General features: G+C 35.2%; 1 long non-coding RNA gene across 1 annotated transcript in view; it reads right to left on the minus strand.

The window, feature by feature from the left end:
* Positions 1-4,798: 4,798 nt before the first annotated feature.
* The window catches only part of LOC105377422 (uncharacterized), a 31,548-nt gene continuing 14,247 nt past the window's right edge, over positions 4,799-22,099 (minus strand). The window contains exons 2-3 of the long non-coding RNA XR_939196.1: positions 11,571-11,649; positions 4,799-4,936 (exon numbers count right to left, since the gene is read on the minus strand). This is a non-coding gene — a long non-coding RNA (uncharacterized LOC105377422). The remainder of the gene's footprint in view (positions 4,937-11,570; positions 11,650-22,099) is intronic.

A 22,099-nucleotide genomic window follows, 5' to 3' on the forward strand; every position in this document is an offset into this window, starting at 1 on the left:
CTGCACTGCTCTTGTGATAGGGAATGAGTCTCATGAGATCTGATGGTTTTAAAAATGGGAGTTTACCTGCACAAGCTCTCTTCCCTTGTCTGCCACCATGTGAGACATGTTTCATCTTCCATTATGATTGTGGAGCTCCCCAGCCATGTGGCACTGTGAGTCCAATAAACCTCTTTCTTTTGTAAATTGCCCAGTCTCAGGTATGTCTTTATCAGCAGCGTGAAAATGGTCTAATGCAGTAAATTGGTACCAGGAGTAGCATGCTGCTGAAAACATACCTGAAAATGCGGAAGCAACTTTGGAATTGGGTAGCAGGCCAAGTTGGAACAGTTTGGGGGGGCTTGGAAAAAGATGGGAAAATGTAGGAAGGTTTGGAACTCCCTAGAGATTTGTTTAGTGGCTTTGACCGAAATGCTGATAGTGATATATGATGAAACCCAGGATGAGGTGGTCTCAGATGAAGATGAATAACTTGTTGGAAACTTGAGTAAAGGTGAGTCTGATATGTTTTAACAAAGAGACTGGCATTATTTTGCCCCTGCTCTAGAGATCTGTGAAACTTTGAACTTGAGGGAGATGATTTAGGGTATCTGGTAGAAGAAATTTTTAAGCAACGAAACATTCAAGTGGTGGCTTGAGTGCTGTTAAAAGCATTCAGTTTTGTAAGGGAAGCAGAGCATAAAAGTTCAAAAAATTTGCAGCCTGACAATGTAATAGAAAAAGAAAAACCCATTTTCTGAGGAGAAATTCAAGCCAGCTGCAGAAAATTGCTTAAGTAACAAGGAGCTGAATGTGAATCCCCAAGACAATGGGGAAAATGTCTCCAGGGCATGTCAGAGGTTTTCACGGCAATCCCTCCCATCACAGACCTACAGGCCTAGGAGAAAATGGTTTTGTGGGCCGGGCTGAGGGTCCCCGTGCTGTGTGCAGCCTAGGGACTTGGTGACCTGTGTCCCAGCCACTCCAGCCATGGCTGAATGGGGCCAAGGTAGAGATCGAGCCATGGCTTCAGAGGGTGGAAGCCCCAAGCCTTGGCAGCGTCCATGTGTTGTTGAGCTTGCAGGTGCACAGAAGTGAAGAATTGAGGTTTGTGTCTAGGCACACTGGCTCATTCCTGTAATCCCAGCACTTTGGGAGGCCAAGGCAGGTGAATCACCTGAAGCCAAGAGTTCAAGACCAGCCTAGCCAACATGGGGAAACCGCACCTAGATTTCAGAAGATGTATGAAAATGTCTGGATGCCCAGGCAGAAGTTTGCTGCAGGAGCAGGGCACTCATGGAGAACTTTTGCTAGGGCAGTGAGGAAGGGAAATGTGGGAATGGTGTCAGAGTAATAGAGTCACTACTGGGGCATTGCCTAGTGGAGCTGTGAGAAGAGGGCCACCATCCCCCAGACCCAAGAATGGTAGATCCACCAATGGCTTGCACCATGTGCCTGGAAAAGCCACAGACTCTCAATGCCAGCCAGCCTGTGAAAGTAGATGGGAGGGAGGCTGTACCCTGCAAAGCCAAGCTGCCCAAGACCATGGAAACCCATCCCTTGCATCAGTGTGAACTGGATTTGAGACATGGAGTCAGAGGACAATATTTCGGAGCTTTAAGATTTAACTGCTCTGCTGGATTTCAGATTTGCATGGGGCCCATAGTCCTTTTGTTTTGGTCAATTTCTCCCATTTGGAATGGCTGTATTTACCTGATGCCTGTACCCCATTGTATCTAAGAAGTAGCCAACTTGCTTTTAATTTTACAGGCTCATAGGCGGAAGGGACTTGCCTTGTCTTAGATGAGACACTGGACTGTGGACTTTCGAGTTAATGCTGAAATGAGTTAAGATTTTGGGGGACTGTTGGGAAGGCAGGATTGATTTTGAAGTGTGAGGACATGAGATTTGGGAATGGCCAGGGGTGGAATGATTTGATTTGTCTGTGTCTCTGCCCAAATCTCATCTTGAGTTGTAACTCCCACAATTCCCACCTGTTGTGGGAGGAACATGGTGGGAGGTGATTGAATCATGAGACGGGTCTTTCCTGTGCTGTTCTTGTGATAGTGAATGAGTCTCATGAGATACAATGGTTTCAAAAATGAGAGTTTTCCTGCACAAGCTCTTGTCTCTTGTCTGCCACCATGTGAGGCATGTTTTCACCTTCCATCATGACTGTGAGGCCTCCCAGCCAAGTGGCACTGTGAGTCCAATAAACCTCTTTGTTTTGCATATTGCCCAGCCTCGGATATGTCTTTATCAGCAGCATGAAAATGGACTAATACAATGGCTGAGTCCAGGGTATTTATGGACTCAGAAGGGAGGAAGTAAATGCTGATTGGTTCATGAATGTGGACTTCACCTGAAACTGGCAGCCTGGCCGCCAGTCTTCAGGTCTTCCCTGGCTTGAAGTTGGGGCTTCACTGGGTATCCACTCCTTTCTGCCCAGGAACCTGTCTGCCTCCTGTCACCATCATGGTGTCCAGGTTGTCCCTGCTGAGGGATGCATGCAGGCCCAAACTAAGCCACCTTCAGCTCCACCGTGGCCTCCTTCCCACACTCATCAGTGCCCAAAGTCTGAAGGGGGCCACGGCAGGAGGGAGGTGAGCTGGCAAATCAGCACCACCCTGAGTGCATGCACAAACAGCCAGGTTGCAACAGCCCCTGCGATCAGCTCCACCTTTGCTACAAAATTAGAGCAGGCACCAGGAGTGGGGAAAGGCCAGCTAGCAGGAGAGGACACTTCTGAGCCTGTAGGGACAGGGGGTGGTTCCCTGGCTCCTGAGAGCACAGAGATGCCCAGATCTGGAACCTTGGTGAGGTGTCTGAAGCTGTGATTGGGAATGTGGAGTTCCTGCCCTGCCAGCTCAGTAGGGGGTGGGACTCCTGCCTGTTCCCAGTTCCACTGGCTCCATGGGGTGCACAGCCCTGGTGGCACCTCCTTTGCTGCCAATGCCATCACTGCAGTGGCTGCTGCAGATGGGCAGCCACCACCATCAGCTTAAGCTTAATGTCCACATTCGTCCTACTGGTCCCCCACATTTAATGAGGGCAATAAAAAGATGGGTGTATGGGGATGCTTCACACACAGGTTTTTATCAAAACTGAAGAGTTCCAAGTTTGGAAGACCATCAGTTTTCCAAGGTGGCTGATAACCAAACTTCCCAAACTTTCTCTCAAAAGTTAATATAGACATGATCTATAAAGTTATTATAGACATTACATAGATAATGTAGACATTATGAATATTGTTCTGGTAATGAAACAAATCTGCATGAGGAGTTACTATTTGTATCTTCCAAGACCATTGATATACATGGTCCTTGAAAAGAGAGTCTGGAACAAAATTTATAAATAATTAACTCTTCAGAAGACATTCAGAAACAAAAGAAACAAAAGAGACTCACAAAGGATTATCTCCCAATGTGTAAGTCTAACAGTCAAGCAATATTTTGTATCAGAACAGCTTTAGTCAACTCATTGTATTTCCATGTCACAAATGCTTGTTTTAATTTTTTTTTTTTTTTTTTTTTGAGACAGAGTCTTGTTCTGTCACTCAGGATGGAGTGCAGGGGCACAATCTTGGCTCACTGCAACCTCTGCCTCCTAGGTTCAAGCAATTCTTATGTCTCAGTCTCCTGAGTAGCTGGGATTACAAGTGTGTGCCAACACGCTCAGTTAATTTTTTGTATTTTTTTCTGGAGATGGAGTTTTGCCATGTTCGCCAGGCTGGTCTCAAACTCTGGGCCTCAAGTGATCCACCCGCCTCAACCTCCTAAAGTAATGGGATTACAGTTGTTTTAATATTTTTGAAAGTCAAATTGACTTTTCTAAGTATATGAACAGAAAATAAGAAATTAACTCCTGAAAAAAGGACAAAATAGAAGTTTTTTTAATGAAGTAGACAAACCGTGTTTCTCTATTTATAATATAAACCACTAACAACTTTCATTTAAAACTTACATTTAAATTATTATAAAACAATATTAATGTATTATAAAATACTAGTAATTCATTAGGTATGACTTTTTTTTTTTTTTTGAGATGGAGTTTTGCTCTTGTGGCCCAGGCTGGAGTGCAGTGGCGCCATCTCAGCTCATGGCAACCTCCACCTCCGGAGTTCAAGCGATTCTCCTGCTTCAGCCTTCTGAGTAACTGGGATTGCAGGCCACCACACCGGCTAATTTTTTGTATTTTTAGTAAAGATGGGATTTCGCCATGTTGGGCAGGCTGGTCTCAAATTCCTGACCTCAGGTGATCCGCCCGCCTCGGTCTCCAAAAGTGGTGGGATTACAGGTGTGAGCCATTGTGCCCAGCCAAGTGTGACCTTTAAGTAACACTGGTACTACAGTATGAATGGAAAGAAGTAACAGAGCAAGTGTAATCATATTAATATTTAACTGTAAATTCAGCAGAAAAAAAAGGAGTAAAGTTAGAATTTTTATAGAATTTAGAATAGAAAAAGATCTGGAAATTCAGCTTTGTTTGTATTTTTTAAAATTAACTTTTTTTGTTTCTGTTTTTGAGACGGAGTCTTGCTCTGTCGCCCAGGCTGGAGTGCAGTGGAGCAATCTCAGCTCACTGCAAACTCAGCCTCCTGGGTTCACACCATTCTCCTGCCTCAGCCTCCCGAGTAGCTGGGACTACAGGCACCCGCCACCACGCCCGGCTAATTTTTTGTATTTTTAGTAGAGATGGGGTTTCACAGTGTTAGCCAGGATGGTCTGGATCTCCTGACCTCGTGATCCGCCTGCCTCGGCCTCCCAAAGTGCTGGGATTACAGGCATGAGCCACCGCGCCCGGCCTTAAAATTAACTTTTCATAATTGTACTTCTATTCATTCTACAATGTTTAGTTCAGATAATATGAAAAGTTTCAATGTTTTTCAATATCTGTTAATGTGAGTTTACTTTGCATGATAGTGTTGATGAATACGGCTTTGAAATGTTGACACTTCCTGTGGAAAGAAACGAGACAATAAGATAAAACACTAAACAACAGCTATGAAATTAGCTAAGCCAGTGGTTCTTAACATGTTTTAATGATTAATAAAACAGAATTTCCACTCTCAAAATTCAGTGATAGGTACTTTCTATTTCTCAAAGTATTTCTTTATAAAGTTCATTTAAAAGATTGGTTTTATACTAGAGTATGGGTGCTGTGGACTATTATTTTCACAATAAAAAGTTCATTTGAAAACAATTCACTACTTGACCCTATATTAAAATATCCTCAATAATTCAGAAATATTTTTTATAAGTATAAATCCATTTATGTTATTAGGGAGGAAACTACATTTGGGCACATATTATTTTAAGTGTGACTGGATATTTCAGGGGTAAATGTTTCTTATTGAAAACTGACTTGTGTTTACCGAAGATCTTTAGTATATCAGAGAATTGTCTTACTTACTGCCTAAGAGTAGAGATAATGTGCTTAGCTCCTAAGAATTTGTGATTTTTTAAAAATTTATTTTCTTTTAACATCATTAAGAAACAAATGGAGTTTTACTAAGAGGCAAAAATGTGTAAAATATTTAAACATATTAGCAAATATGACACTGAAGCCAGGCTCAGTGGCATGCACCTGGAATCCCAGCTACCAGGGAGGCTGAGGCAGGAAGATGACTTGAGACCTGAAGTCTTAAGACCAGAGACCAGCCTGGGCAACCAAGTGAGACCCCATCTATCAAATATATGTATATGTATATGTATATATATATGAATATGTACATATATGAATATGTATATATGTATATATTATATATATTATATTGATAAATATAAATAAACTTCATAATGTGCTATCAATAGTTATATGACTTTAAAAACTACCTTGGCTTTTCAAATCTGTATTTCTAAATCCATTTTATTAATAAAATGTTTGGGAATTTGCTGTATTAAAGAAAATTGTATAGTTCTTAATGAATATACATATATATTTCAATATAGTATCTGACATTATTACTGGGGGTGCAAACATTTTGAGTGTTTTTTGCAGAGCCATCAAGTTTAATTATTCATGAAAAAATTGCTGAACTAACTTACAAAACACATTAGCTGGGGAGTGCAAATTATGTATGTTATGAGCTACACATAATTATGTAGGTAACTCTAGCTATGTGTCATACACAGTTGATGTAACATATGTGTCCATTTATCTTGAAATCCCAATTTCTTTATCTGTATTTATTTAATAGGACTATTCTGAGAATAAAACAAAAAAAAGTATGTAATACCCTTAAAGAATATTTAGTAGACGCTCAAAATTGCTGTTTTTTAAAAATGCTAATTCTTCTGCTGCTGTTGATGAAGATAGCCCTTGAATTTTTGCTTCTCTTTTATTGGTAGCAAAATTTTATGATCTTGATAACCTAGACACCTTTGTTGATTACTCTAAATGACAAAATATAGTTGTAGCCCATGAAGAATCAGACAAAAAGAAGTTGTGAATTAAGTTTACTTGCTAAGAGATTAAGAGAGGTATATTGACTTATATAATAAACTAAAAATACTTTTTTCCTAACTATAGCCTTGAAAAATGAGAAAAGATGATGATGAAATTTCAGGGTGAACACACCAATAATGAATAACAAGATCAAAGCAGTAATAAAAAAGTATCCCATCAAATAAAAGTCGAGGACCTGATGATGGCTCTACAGCTAAATTCTACCAAACCTTTAAAGAAAAATGGAAAGCAATCTTACTCAAATTATTCCAAAAAATGGAAGAGAAAGGAATACTTTCAAATTCATTATATGAGACCAGCATTACTCTGATATCAAAACCAGACAAGGACACAACAAAAAAAGAAAATGTCAGGAGAATATCTCTGATGAACATAGATGCAAAAATCCAGAACAAAATACTAATAAACTTAATTCAACAATACATAATAAGGATTATTTACCATGATCAAATGGGATTAATCACAGAGATGCAAGGATGGTTCAACAGAACAACAAATGATCTGCATCAAATTAACTGAATCAGGGATGAAAACCATATGATCATTTCAATAGATGCTGAAAAGGCATTTTATAAAATTTGGCATTCCTTCGTAATAAAAACTCTCAACAAGCCTGGCAATGAAGGAATGCTTCACAATACAATAAAGCCATGTATGACAAAGTTGCAGGTAACATTATACTGAATGAGAAAAAAGTTGAAAGCTGTTTCTCTAAGATTTGGAAAATGAGAAGGATGATCATTTTCAACAGTTTTTTTAAACATACTACTGGAAGTTCTAGCCAGAGCAATCAGGCAAGAGAAAGAAATAAAGGGCATCCAAATCAGAAAGCAGAATGTCAAATAGTTCCTTTTTTTTTTTTTTTTTGAGATGGAGTCTCGCTCTGTTGTCCAGGCTGGAGTGCAGTGGTGCGATCTCAGCTCACTGCAAGCTCTGCCTCCCGGTTCACGCCATTCTCCTGCCTCAGCCTCCTGAGTAGCTGGGACTACCGGCGCCTGCCACCATGTCCGGCTAATTTTTTGTATTTTTAGTAGAGATGGGGTTTCATCGTGTTAGCCAGGATGGTCTGGATCTCCTGACTTCGTGATCTGCCCACCTCAGCCTCCCAAAGTGCTGGGATTACAGGCGTGAGCCACCACGCCCGGCCAGTTCTTATTTTTAGGTGACATGATTTTATGATTATACATATATATATAACCTTAAAGGTTGCACCAAAAAACAGTTAAAACTAATAAAATAATTTAGTAAAATTGCAATATACAAAATCAATATATAAAAGTCAGTAGTGTTCCTATACATCCACGATGAACAATCTAAAAAAAAAAAACAAAAAAGCAATTCTATTTACAATAGCCACCAAAAAAAAAAATGGGAGTAAACTTAACCAAGGAGGTGAGAGATATCTATGATGAAAACTATAAAACATTGATGAAAGAAATTGAAAAGGACACAGTTATTTGTGTTCCTTTCATTTATATGGAAAGATATCTCTTGTTTATGGATTGAAAGAAATAATATTGTTAAAAGGTCCATATTATCCAAAGTTATCTGCAGATTCAATGCAATCTCTGTCAAAATATTGATGCCATTATTTACAGAAATAGAAAAAACAGTTCCAAAATTTGTATGAAAATGCAAAACCGTGAATAGCCAAAGCTATCTTGAGCAAACTAAACAAAGCTGGAGGCATCACATTGCATTACTTCAAAATACGCAACAAAGCTATAGTAGCCAAAATTGTACTGACGTAAAAGCAGACACATATACCAATAAAACAGAATGGAAACCCAGAAATAAATTCATTTATATAGCCAACTAATTATTGTCATATGCTCCATGAACACACATTGGTGAAAAGACAGTGTCTTCAATTAATGATGCTGAGAAAATGAGTATCTACATACAGGAAAGTAAATCCAGACCCCTATCTCTTATCATACACAAAAATAAACTCTAAATGAATTAATGATTTTAATGCAAGATCTAATGCTATAAAACTACTAGAAGGAAACATAAGGGAAATACTTCATGAAATTGAAGTGGGCAAGCATTTTTTGAATAAGACCTCAAAAATGCAGGAAACAAAATAAAAAATTATATTACATAAGCTAAAAAGATCCTGCAGAATAAAGAAAACAATTACTAAAGTGAGACAACTTGCCAAATGAGAGAAAATATATTCAAATATTCATCTGACAAGGAGTTAATACACAGACTATATAAGGAACTCAATGAGCTCAAAGCAGAAAAAAATCCAGTTAAAAATGAGCAAAATACCTGAATAAACATTTCTTTAAAGAAGACATACAAATAACCTGCAGATATATGAAAAATGGTCAACATCACGAATCATCAGAGAAATGTAAATCAACAACACAGTCAGGTATCACTTCACCTCATTTAGAATGGCTATTATAAAAAAAGACAAAAAATAACAAAAATGTTGGCCAGTATGTGGAAAAAGGGGAGCTCTTACACACTGCTTGTAGGAATATAAATTATTTTGTATTGTGAAAACAGTATGGAAACCTCGAAAACGTCAGTATCCATTCCTTTAAGTTTGGACTCTTTAATTCCTCAAAAAATTAAAAACAGAACTACCGCATAATCTAACCATCGTATTTCTGGGTAAGCATTCAAAAGAAATGAAATCAGTATGTGGAAGAGACATGTGCACACTCATGTTTATTGCAGCACTGTTCACAATAGCCAAGATATGGAATCAACTTAAATACCCATTGACAGGTGAATGAATAAAGAAAATGTGGTATACACACACACACACACACACACACACACACACAATGGAATACGATTCAGCCATAAAAGAGAATGAACTCCTGTCATTTGTGGCAACATAGATGGATCTGGAAGACATTTTTAAGTGAAATAACATAATTGTCACTTAACAGGCATAGAAAGACAAACATTGCATGATCTCACTCATACGTGAAATCTAAAAATGTTGATCTCATAAAAGTAGAGTAGAGGCTGGGCGTGGTGGCTCACGCCTGTAATCCCAGCACTTTGGGAAGCCGAGATGGGCAGATCACGAGGTCAGGAGATCAAGACCGTCCTGGCTAACACTGTGAAACCCCATCTCTACTAAAAATACAAAAAATTAGCCGGGCGTGGTGGCGGGCGCCTATAGTCCCAGCTACTCAGGAGGCTGAGGCAGGAGAATGGCGTGAACCCGGGAAGTGGAGCTTGCAGTGAGCAGAGATTGCGCCACTTCACTCTGGCTTGGGGGACAGAGCGAGACTCCCTCTCAAAAAAAAAAAAAAAAGAGTAGAATAGTAGTTACTAGTGGCTGTGGAGGGTAGGGGGAAGGAGAGGAGAGGGAGAGAGAGGCTGGTCAATAGTACAAATTTACAGTTAGAAAGAATTTCATTGTTTTATTACATGGTAGGGTGACTATAGAAAATAATTACGTACTGTGTATTTCAAGATAACTAGAAGACAGCTAGACTTTGCATATTGTCAAGACTAGAAAACGATTAATGATTAAAGTAATGTATATGGTAATCACCCCAATTTGATTATTACACTATGTATACATGTACTGAAACATGACATTGTACCACATAAATATGTACAAATAATATGTGTCAAATATAAATTATTTTTAAGTAACTTTATTCAAGTGAGAATGGGGAGTTTTCTTTCGCTTAATTATCCTGAGCCTTTATTAACTTCCTTCACTTTAGCATCTTGAATCCAGTAAATGTTTTTAGACAAGAGACATTTAGGGAATTACTGCTCTCCCATTTTATGCAAGAATGAAGGTGCTTAGCTTTTCCTATCTGAATTATTTGCTAAAACTAAACTAATTAGACATTCCAAAGATTTTGAATCTTGATAATGAAGACAGAAAAATGATTTTGATCTATGTGTTACAGGAGCAGTACACTGATAGGGAGTATTTTATGCTACTTAGACTCCAGATAGCTGTCCTATCCTGTTCCTATAGCTTATCAGGTACGGTAGTATAGATTAAGCAAATAAAAATTTTAGAAAATTGCTAATTTATATTATTTAAAATGTGAAAAAATATAATTAGGAATCAGAGTTTGTGTGTATTTTATTTTTATTACATGGTGTTTATCCTATTATTTCAATTATTAATGTAGCACTTACCAGAAATTCTGCTTTCAGCATGCCAGCATGGGTTACCATATATTTCTAATATGTGTGTTTGTGTGTGTGTGTGAGTATATGTCCATGAATACCAATTGTAAGATTCTATAAAGGACACTGAAGAGCCATATATCATTTGGTATAAGTAGATGAAGAAAGTATTTGCAGGAAGAAAATGAACCACCAAGTCAGAGTTTCTCACCGTTTTTGCAGATTTGAGTCAGCTCTTCGACTTAAGGTCCTCCAATAAACAGCAGTTTATTTAGCTTGAGGACAGATCCTAGTATGCTAATATAAAACCACATTTTTTTTTTTTTTACCATAACTTGCCTTCTGTTTACCTTTGACTTGACTTCAGGGCATTCAAAGATGGATTTTTGAATGGAGAAAGGAGTCCAAACCTACAGGAAGGGATACTGACTTTTTCAAAGTTTCTGAGCTAACTTGAATTCCTGAAGACACCAGATGCCATTGGGTTATACCAGTGAGGCATGTGATAAATGGAGTTTGACCAGAGGAGATCACATACTCAACTCAGTGGAACTTTGAAACCAGCAGATATTCCTTGCTTTGATTCCTGTGTTTGTAGTTAGAGCAGACAACTCCAGGAACTAAAGAATCCCTATGGAAAGTGTAGCCAAGAGCAGGAAAAAGCTAGTCACAGAATCCAGGCTACCCTATATAAAGCTTTGAAATGTGGTCCACTTCTGGCTCACAAGATTCCCACAATTTTTATGACTAATCTTAATAGGAAAAACACACATATTTGTGTCAGGAATTACTGACAGCCATCACCAATTACCCGAATAATAGAAACAAGATTCAAGTTGAAAATGAATGAATGCTTCTTTTTACTGTCTAATATGAATTAAGTATTATCTGATTTGTCCCTCCACATTGTTTGATGTTCCTAACAGAATTCCATTATTCAGTGAAAATGGTATATTCAGGGAGGTCAACAGGAAGTAAAAATAAGTGAAACTTACCTGAGTAGCTATCTCAGAGTTCTGACATGTCCTCTAACACTCTACATTGCTGCTGTATGACAGCTCACTCATGGAAATTCTGAAGAAAAGCAAAGATGGGGCATTCTCTAAACGGGTGTAATTTTAAAATGAAACTGCTTATCAGCTGTCTAGAAAAGGAGATGGCCTGATACACACAGGAAAAGTTTAATTAGGGCTGCTATAATATTTTGGAGCAATAAGTTAGATTAAATTAACCAGTCCATTTAGATATGTTGTCTTCTATTATGAGCTAAGAAGATCATTATATTTTGACAATGCATAGATCAAATATATGCTAATTTATACTTCTCTGCAATCTTGTTCTCTTGATTATTTTTCTTCTTTTAGCAGGCTATTATTTTCTCAAGAGGATTTACAAGTAGCATTCACTGGTCATGACAAACCTTCAATTAACTGGCTTTCCTGCAGTGTGTATTATTATTTCATTATCAAGTTGTCTTTTCATTCTTTTTTCTCACTCTTTCAAGTTATTTATTTATTGTAATTGGCCTACACACAATTTTCTTAATTATTTTTAATGACACTTTTGTTAACACTTACACACTTTTTCATAAAGTTGTTCTAGAAAAAAAATCAAGTCGGATTTAAATTTGTTCTTCAAAAGATAGATTCAAAGGAACAAGCTCTGTCTGATATAGGAAACAGGTAAAATAAGTTTTAGTTTTCTGTTGCTCAAATGTACCTCTCAGGGTCTTGGTTTCCTTATTTCTAAAATTAAGGAGTTACCCTAGAAGATTTTTAATCTCTAATGTTGTGAATTTCTCTTTGGCAATGCTCTTATATAACTAAAATAGTAAATGATTTAAAAACTGAAATTTTAGCTCAGTAATTGGCATTACATTTTTAAGTCCCTGAAAAGAATTAACTCCTGTAGATATCAGTTTCTTCATTTAAAAAATGGAGTCAATGATTCTAAACATTTTCCCTTTCATAATGGATAATGATGGCTTGTGCTACAAGTTTAATATACATGAATTATTTTCTATCTCCAGATAACATGATTGATTTTCTGACTGATTTGTGTAGCTTCATTTTCACATGCCAAAACTTCAACAAGGTATAAAATATGGCCACAACTTGTAGTAAATTTAATGTGGTATGGATTAGTGAGTGCTATTTATATGCTGAAGATACACTAGTGTTACCTCAAAGAGCAATCCAAGAATACACATTTGCTAAGGCTGGGATAGTTCAGGATGTCTGCACTAGTGGTTGTTTATGGCATGAAAGATGCCTGGTCTGGCCTCCACGAAGCCCTGCCCCATCTGAGTCTCAGGAAAAGTTGCTGAAGCCTGGCTGTGTCTGCCCAGACACCAAGAAGACATGTGATGCATGTTATCATTGAGAAAGGAGAGCACTGTGGACATCTATTTTTATTTTTTATTTTTTGAGATGGAATTTTGCTCTTATTGCCCAGGCTGGAGTGCAGTGGGGCAATCTCAACTCACTGCAAACTCTGCCTCCCAGGTTCAAGCGATTCTCCTGCCTCAGCCTCCAGAGTAGCTGGGATTACAGGCGCGCACCACCAAGCCCGGCTAATTTTTGTGCTTTTAGTAGAGACGGGGTTTCACCGTGTTGGCCAGGCTGGTCTCAAACTCCTGATCTCAGGTGATCCACCTGCCTCAGCCTCTCAAAGTTCTGGGATTACAGGCATGAGCCATCGCTCACGGCCCAACACTGTGGACATCTAATTGAAGCCCACAAGGAGTGCATGGGCTCTCTGAGATTTAAGATATGAAATAGTGTTCTTGAAGAACGAAGATTAAATAATTTCGGGAACTTTAATGAACTTTCATAAGTGGAAAAAGTATTTCTAATTTATTTTTTTAAACAAATATTAGTCGACAAAGGAAAAAAACAACTCAATTAGAGTACAACTAGGAAAGGTGGGAATTATTTTAGAAATACATTTTTGAAAGCATGAAGGATTTCTAGTACAGTAAATATTTGAGGGGTCAAAGTCCTGGAGAGAAGAAAACTCAGGTGTGAGCCAAAAATTTGGAGGTATTTTTTGCCTATGAACTCCAAAATAAGCTGAGCCTCAGAAAAGCCACATAGAAAGTGGCAGTTGGAGTTAAGATAAGCACAATGTTAAAGTCTCTTAGGCCTCAATATAATTGCAAAAATATTTAACATAGGAATGAAAAAAACATATTATTCCTACTTGGCATATAAAAAACATTATAAAGACTAATTAATTTGAAGTCACATAATGTATTGATATTAGAGATATTCGAGCCTTCAATGATAAAATTGTCTACCAAAAAGTCTGGAAAGAGGGTATTGAAGCATAGTTATTATTTAGATATTTTAAAAAGAAGGCAAAGTCATATGGGCAGTTCAGTTAATGGAATTGGGGGATGGGATGCAGTGAGTCAAATCAGACTTTCATATTCTTGAAGCTTGACTTTCCAGACCTAGGAATAGTCTAATATTTACTTTCAGCCCAAAGTAAATATGGTACAAGTAATAAGTTTGCTTTTTTCATCTGAAAATCATTTTTTTGGTAATATAAGGTAGAAAAAGAGACTAGAAAAACAAACAACATGTATTGATGTTATATATTTTCGCATTATTATAACATGTATGAGCAATAATGTCAACCTGAAAGTAATGTGTTATGTCCAATGAACATCAAACTGCACTCAGTGAGCTGCATTGCAGCTGCATGAGAAAAAATACTGTTACTTTTGTCCCTGGAAATTAAATATATTTACTATGGTCTAATGAGATCCACTCATGAGTTTTCTGTTCACTCCTGTAATGAGGAAAGTCAGGGACGTCGCAAATTCAATTAACCTGATAATTAATGAATTTTCATATCATATCTCATTACTCTATCAAGATAGAATTTTTCCAACTTTATTACAATGTCTCATTGTCAATAACATTATTATCAATACTAATAACAAATGAATAATTATTGTCCTCTGTTATTTATGCTTTATTAATTACTTGGCCTACTGCAACTATATTTATTTAAAAGGTTTATTACTGCATATTTTATGTGTTTGTATATATCTGTCACTGACTTTATAGGTATGTGTATTATTTAATTATATACCTTAATAAATTATAAATTACTCAAAGAAAGAATCTGAGTCTCTTTGCAATTATAGAAAAAATTCTAGCCTTTTTGCAATGCTGTAGAGTGGCTGAAACCATGGCATCATTCTAATATTTTGGCTTTTCAAGGAATGTTCTAAACCCAGACTTCTAGTATAGTTCTCAGTAAAGAGAATATTCTTCTCATTTATAAGCTCATTTATCTTCACTATAGAACTCTAATTATTCACATTATGAGCTTATAGGGTACATGGTTTTAGGACCCAGGATCCCAGGGGACATTTTACACCACAGTAAGGGGGAGCAGCTTAGTCACTGTCCTGGGGATTAAGTTGACAAATGTCTCTGGAACTACTTAGCTCTAATAAAATGTTTTCAGAGCTGTGGATACATAACTACTTCTTAGTGAATATGTTATGAAAAACTGTAGAATGAATCTGAGAGCCATAGAAGTCAGTTTTTTTTCTTCCCATAACACACATTTTAAATTAAAAGAATGTCTATATTTCGGGACAACATAGGTACTTTGAATAACTGCTCTAAAAATGTTTGCTTTTCCAGGAAAATTGAAAAATCTTATCTATATATAATGCAGAACTTATAAATAGCACTAAAAAAAAGAGCCCAAATCATATGGATGCCAAGGTAAACAAACTTAGCTCCTGATTGGCCTCCCTAACTCTTCTGATCTCCAAATTTTGGCCGCAATGGAACAAAAGAGGCTTTCCTATCTTTTGTCCTGCTCAGACTTCTACAAGAATGATAACTAGGCAGGGCCCGGTGGCTCACGCCTGTAATCCCTGCACTTTGGGAGGCCATGGAGGGTGGATCGCTTGAGCTCAGACCAGCCTGGACAATATGATGAAACCTCATCTCTACAAAAAATACAAAAGTTAGCTAGACATAGTGTTGTGCACCTGTAGTTCCAGCTACTCAGAAGGCTGAGGTGGGAGGATTACTTGAGCCCAGGAGGTCGAGGCTGCAGTGAGCCATGATTGCACCACTGCACACCAGCATGGGTGGCAAAGTGAGACACTGTCTCAAAAAAAAAAAAAAATTAATGATAACTTATTCTTTATTTCTTCTATCTCCCTTCCATAGTTAAAATGAACTAAATGGAATTATTGCTAATTCCATATAATAGTATCTAAATAAAAATCAGCACCAAATATTACATAACAAAATACATATAAAAAGTACTAGAGGTAGGAGATTATAATGCAGTGAAAGATAGTAATTCTATTTTAAACTTCCTCTTATGTAAACATACAATTTCAAAGAATGTCCTTGTTTTAACCCTTGCAAATATTATGCTTTATGTCATTTTAGACACAATTGTTGAAAAGTTGCCGATTTAGAAATTAACAATGAAAGAAAAGAGGGAAATAAGTGTTTAGGATTTCCAGTTCCCTGACTCACATAATGATAGCCCATCAATCAGTTTGTTATTTTAAGCCAGAACAAACATGTATCATGGGATTCTAAAAACATCCCTAATGTAGACAAAGGTATTTTCTTTGAATACAGTGTTATATTTGAGCAGATTTTAAAAATTCATAAATATGTAATAACTGTTTTTGTACTTAACGTTTGGGTATCCAGAAATCCATGTCTATCATCATCATTTATAATCTGCAGATTATTTAGATTAATATTTAAATACTTTTTTTCTGTTTTTAGAAATAAACAAAAGGTAACTGGCAAAAGTAACCTGAATTTATTTTTAACATTTTAAAAATTTTATAGATTACACTATTTTTAAATACCGTAAAACATGATTTCTGATAAAAATAATTTTAGTAAGACAGAAAGGTGGTCCCTTTGTATTTATTATTATCAATAAACTGGAAAATATATTTTCAAAACATATACCAATATAGCAAACAAAAATAAATCCCTGGGTATCATACATAGAAAAAAAATCAAATATTAAAAAAAAACTGCAGTGTTACAGGCCAGTATACATAAACATAAAATTTTTGTGCTTTGTTTCTTAAAAGCTAAGCAGTCCAATAAATATTTCAACCCAAATTTACTTTTGAACTGGCTGGTTTAATGGAGAAATATAGGTGCCATTCATAACTATTTCTAAAAACATATCTATTGCAATTGCTATAGAGTGGATTAGAATCATGCTCAGGTGTTTGTGTATGCCTTGACAGAGAGGAATCATATGTATGGATTTGGTGACAGAATTGGAATTGCATAAAAATAAAAGGTTATAACAGAATTTCAAACAGCTTCTTTTTGCATTAGTGGATATTTCTAACTGAATTTGTCTTATTCTGTGCTTCACAGTATGTCTTTTTGAAAAACATGCTTCATTTTGACTAATTAACTAAACATATTATGTTATTTATGTTTCAGTAAAACAATTGTCAGATCTGTATGTTTCAATATTACAATGTTCATTTATGCCTGCCTAAATTTGGAAATATTAATAAATATATAATGTTCAATAGAAGATACTGCTCATCTTGTATTTTGTTTTCAATATCAGGTTTGGACCTGATCAACATATTAGGATTAGAATATAGAATTAAAAATTACAAGAAAACAATCACAAAAATACATTTGTAACTACAAAATATGCACCGAGGAATGTATTTATATTCATCAATCCACTAATTTTTGTAAGATACATATTATTTTATTAATAATTGAATTGAGTTTACCTGAATATGTTCAGTTCACCTCATTATTTAATGCCAATAGATATGAACCAATAGAGTCTGTTAGTCTATGATACGGAAAAGAAAAGCCTTAAATGGTTAATTCAAAATTATAATAAGTAATTTATAAAATTTATCATTTTTTTCCTCAGGAACAATGATTCAAACTGGAACTGATTTCCGTGATAGTTATTAAAATATCATAGTTATTATAGATTTAATATTAAAATAAGTAAATTTCAATATATATAAGTAAGTTTCCTTGAGAGTGGTAGAACTACACTGATCTTTCTGCTAGCTTCTTATATTTCTTCATAACCCACATTCTCAGCAGATGATTTGCTTCAGAGGCAAAACAAAAAAAAAAAGAGGTGAATCTTCCCATAAATATAAATATATCCTAGGTGAAATGTAAGAATTCTTCTCTCTGCTAGTCTCCTATTTACTACTTCCATTTGTGATCTTTGTCTAATGTACTCTTTTATTCTGAGTAGCATCATCTCACTTTACTGGACTTTTAACTTTTCCCTTCTGATATCACACTTGTGAGTACATACAAAAACCACATCTTCATGCTGTGCCTCTCTCCAATCATCACCTTATTCTTTCTTCCTTTTTGTATCCAAGTTCTTTCATAGAAAAGACTCCACTCATTACCTATTCCGTTTTATCCATTCTCTAACATACAGCAAGCTGCTTTCCATTCAAAGCAATCCATTGGCAAATGACACCAGTGATCCCTTAATTCCTTTCACTGGATTCCCTATTTTCAGTGCCTTTATTGCTTGGCTGCTTTGTAAAATTGGGACACTTTAAACATTTTTTATATATATATAATATTATATATAATATTTTATATGTATTAGTATTTATGTATATAAAATTTGTATATATATTTATTTATATATTAATTTTAAACATTATAAATATATGTTTAAAGTGTATATCTATACACTCATAAAATAGTGTCCTTCCCAGTTACTTATTTCTTAATTGTTTTTTTCTAACTCAATTTTTGTTCTTTTTGATTTCCTTTGTAGAATCCTCTTCAGCTCAGACCAAAATATTGAGCCTGATTTTCCAAGAATTTAAACCCGTATTCCCTCTTAATCACCTCATTTACTCTCCGACTTCAAACAATGACTATGTTATGATGATTCATAAGTCAATAACCATTTGCAATCTAAATCTATGATCTAGAAGTTTATATATGGCATTAGTACTTTAAATTTATTTTCTTATTTGAACTTCACATTACCTTTTAAACTAGGCACTACTATTTTTCTCTTTGGAGATGAGAAAATCGAGTTTCAAAGAGGTTAAGTAATTGAATCATATCAAAAGCTATTTATTTTCACACACAGGTTTGTGTAATGACAAAGCCTATGCTCTTAATGTAAGGAAAGTATTGTAATATTCCCCTTGAACAGCTGCTGTCTGGTCATCTTTACTAGAAGTTTTGCTGGCATTGCAAAGTCAACATTTACATAATCAAATTTACCCCCAGCTTCCTGATCCTTCACTACCCAGCCCTTGTGGATGCTAACTGGTGTCAAAAGGAATGTCACATTTGGGCATAATCTTGTTACTTGATGTCATGGCAGCACTAAAACTCATTGAGGCATTCACATAAACAAAGCACTCTTCACTCAACCTTTGAATTCATCAAGAATATCATGCTTTCCCATCCTCTATTTCCTCTCTTGGTTAATGAAACCACAAAAAACCCAACCGCCCCAGTCCCAATTCTGAATACCATAAACTATTATATTCTCTTAATCCTTATATCTAGTAAATTACTATACCTTTTCAATTTTAGTTACTAAATATGATTTGATTCTACCACCTCACCAGATTCCTCAGAGATTTCTAATTTTTATTAAATGTGTAAATGAAATAAAGTGTCCTGTGCCTCATTTAACTTATCTATAAGCAGGATAAATGTTAGTAACATCTATTTCCCTGAAAGAGGCTTAACAAGAATATAAATTTATTCAAGGTACACAACATGTGGCTTTCTGTTATATTTCTTTGAAAGAGAGATTTGAAAAGGCCTAAGTTAATATCTGTCCAACTACTGTAGATATCAAATTTTGATGTCCATGAAAAAAATGAGAGTAAGAGAAAGATTTTCTCATAGGAGAGATTTCCTCTTACTGTTTAAAGGGCTTTTTTTTTTTTTAAATTCTGACCACGCTTACAAATAAAATTCTGCTAAGTATCTTCTGGAGTCAGATATCTATTTTTGTTTTAGAATAAAAGAGTAAACTTCACATTAAATATCCCTTTTTACCTTTATACAAATGAGAAGTTAATATTAAAAATTCTATGCTTTAAAAGATGTCAATATTTATTAGTACATTTGGAAGTTCACAAAAATCTTTTTAGATTTGACTGTATAGAAAGAAGATACATCTCCAGTTATTTTAATTCATTTCAGAATTTTATTAGTAAGAATACAGACTCTCTTAATTATAAATTATAACTTATAATTACTTTTAGCTGAATAGCTAGGAATGAAAGTGGTTTTTGAAAAACATTACAAAATAATTTATCTCTGGTTTTCTTTCAACAAAATTTCCTCATACTCAGCTGCTTAGCATTCTTTATGCAACAATGCAGACTTGATTAGAGCAGGCTAGATTATGATTTTCTCTTTGGAAGGATATTTATGCTCATTATGTGAAAACTTGTGCTGTATTGCCTATTTATGACTGTCTCCAGTGGTAAGACATTTGAATCTCCTGCATAGCTATCAGAATAATATGACTCTAATAAAAATTTAGTATATGCACAATCCAAGGCAATTGTGAGTTCTTCACTTATCACTTCTCTGCCAAACTCCACCCCTAAGGAATTTGACGATTTCTTATTTTTATAAATTATCTACCAATTAATTTTGCTTAAATAATTTAAAAATGGGTCCCCCAGGTTGAAATAGTCCTTCTTTAGAAAAGTTTTTTTTATTTATTTCTGAGACAGAGAAACTTGTGAAATATTTAACAATAATATGACATTAAAAAATTTTGTAGTTAAAAGTATATGTCAAATTATACATCAGGGCCCTAGCTTGCACAGCTGTCATCTAATCTTCATCTGAGCTATGACAAGGTAAGTTCCTCCCATTCAGTTCTACCATGCCCTGTCAGATCTAGTACCAATCCCTTTGACTGGTTTTGAAGATAATGTTGGAGGAGAAACGGGAATTTAAAAAGATAATACTATGCTAAGCATAATGGCTTACGCCTGTAATCCCAACAATTTGAGAGGCTGAGGCCAGAGAATCACTTGGGCTGAGGAGTTTGAGACCAGCCTGGGTAACATGGTGAGACCCTATCTGTATTATAAAACACACACACACACGCACACACACTCACATACACACACACACACATATATACACATATATATGTATAATATTTTTTATTAAAAAGAAAATATCTCCATTCATAATCAAGATTACTATAATGAAGCAGCTCTTAATATAATAATAGTATTTGTAATAAGTTGTTATATTTTATGCCATAATCATGATCTACTCACAATCATAATCATGACTGCCTTCATGTACATTAAATAATGGGAATACTATAATCGCTCTGTGAGCTGCACAGTACAGACAGCTAATAGCAACGAAAAGTATATCAAGGAGTGACAAAAGACGTTTAGTAAATTTACTTGTAATAGAGTGTAACAAAATAGTATGTAGAAAGACCACAAAGTGTTATTTAAATAAAGTAACATTTCCACCATATTATGAAGTATCTCAACTACTATTGCTACTAATATTATTAATAAAAATGTAAATTTATCACAACTTTATGTAGCTGGTAATTTTTATACAATGTATTTACATGATAAAACTGGAGGCAGATATAAAGATACTAAAAATTTTACTTAAAATTGTATTAAATATTCATCTTTGATAACAATACATTAGCGTATTTGGCATAAAAATGAACAAGATTACAGAAAAATATAAATTGTGAAATAGTTCTAAATGAAACTTGAATGACAGTAAAATGGAAGGGAAATGAAGACTGAGAAAGGAAAGAGCAAATAATAGCTAAGAGCATAGACTCCAGCACCAAAATGCAACAGTTTAAATCCTGACTCTGCCGCTGACTATATATCTCATCTATATTTAATATTCCTATGCCTTAGTTTTTTATATGTTAAATGGGAAAATGGTATTACCTACAACATAGATGGATTGAGTTACTATTACAATTTTGATCTATTATCTTTTTTTATTTTATAAACACTTAAATTATTGACATACGTAGCAATTGTTATGTTCTTTCATAGTCTTTCTCTTTCATGAAAAATACTTATTTTCATTCTGTGTTTTTGGCATCTTTCTTAAACATAAATTGACTGTAGATGTATGGATTTTATTTTTGGCTTTCTATCATGTTATAGATATCTCTATGTATATCATGCTGTTTTGATTATTATAAATCTGTAGTAAATTGTGAGATCAGGTTGTGTGATACATCCATCCACCATTGTTCTGGTTGATCAGTTTTTTTTGATATTAGGGGTTTTTGCAGATCCGTATAGACTTACAATTGTTTTTCCTATTTCTATGAAAATGTCATTGGAATTTGACATTGCATTGACTCTGTGGATCTCTTTGGGTAGTATGAACGTATTCACATTATTAAATCTTCTACTACATCAACATTAGATTTTTAATTTTTTCCTGTTGTCTTCAATTTCTGTAGTCAATGTTTTACAGTTTTCAGT

The sequence above is a fragment of the Homo sapiens genome, chromosome 4 (assembly GCF_000001405.40).
Source record: "Homo sapiens chromosome 4, GRCh38.p14 Primary Assembly".
NCBI classification, from domain to species: domain Eukaryota; kingdom Metazoa; phylum Chordata; class Mammalia; order Primates; family Hominidae; genus Homo; species Homo sapiens.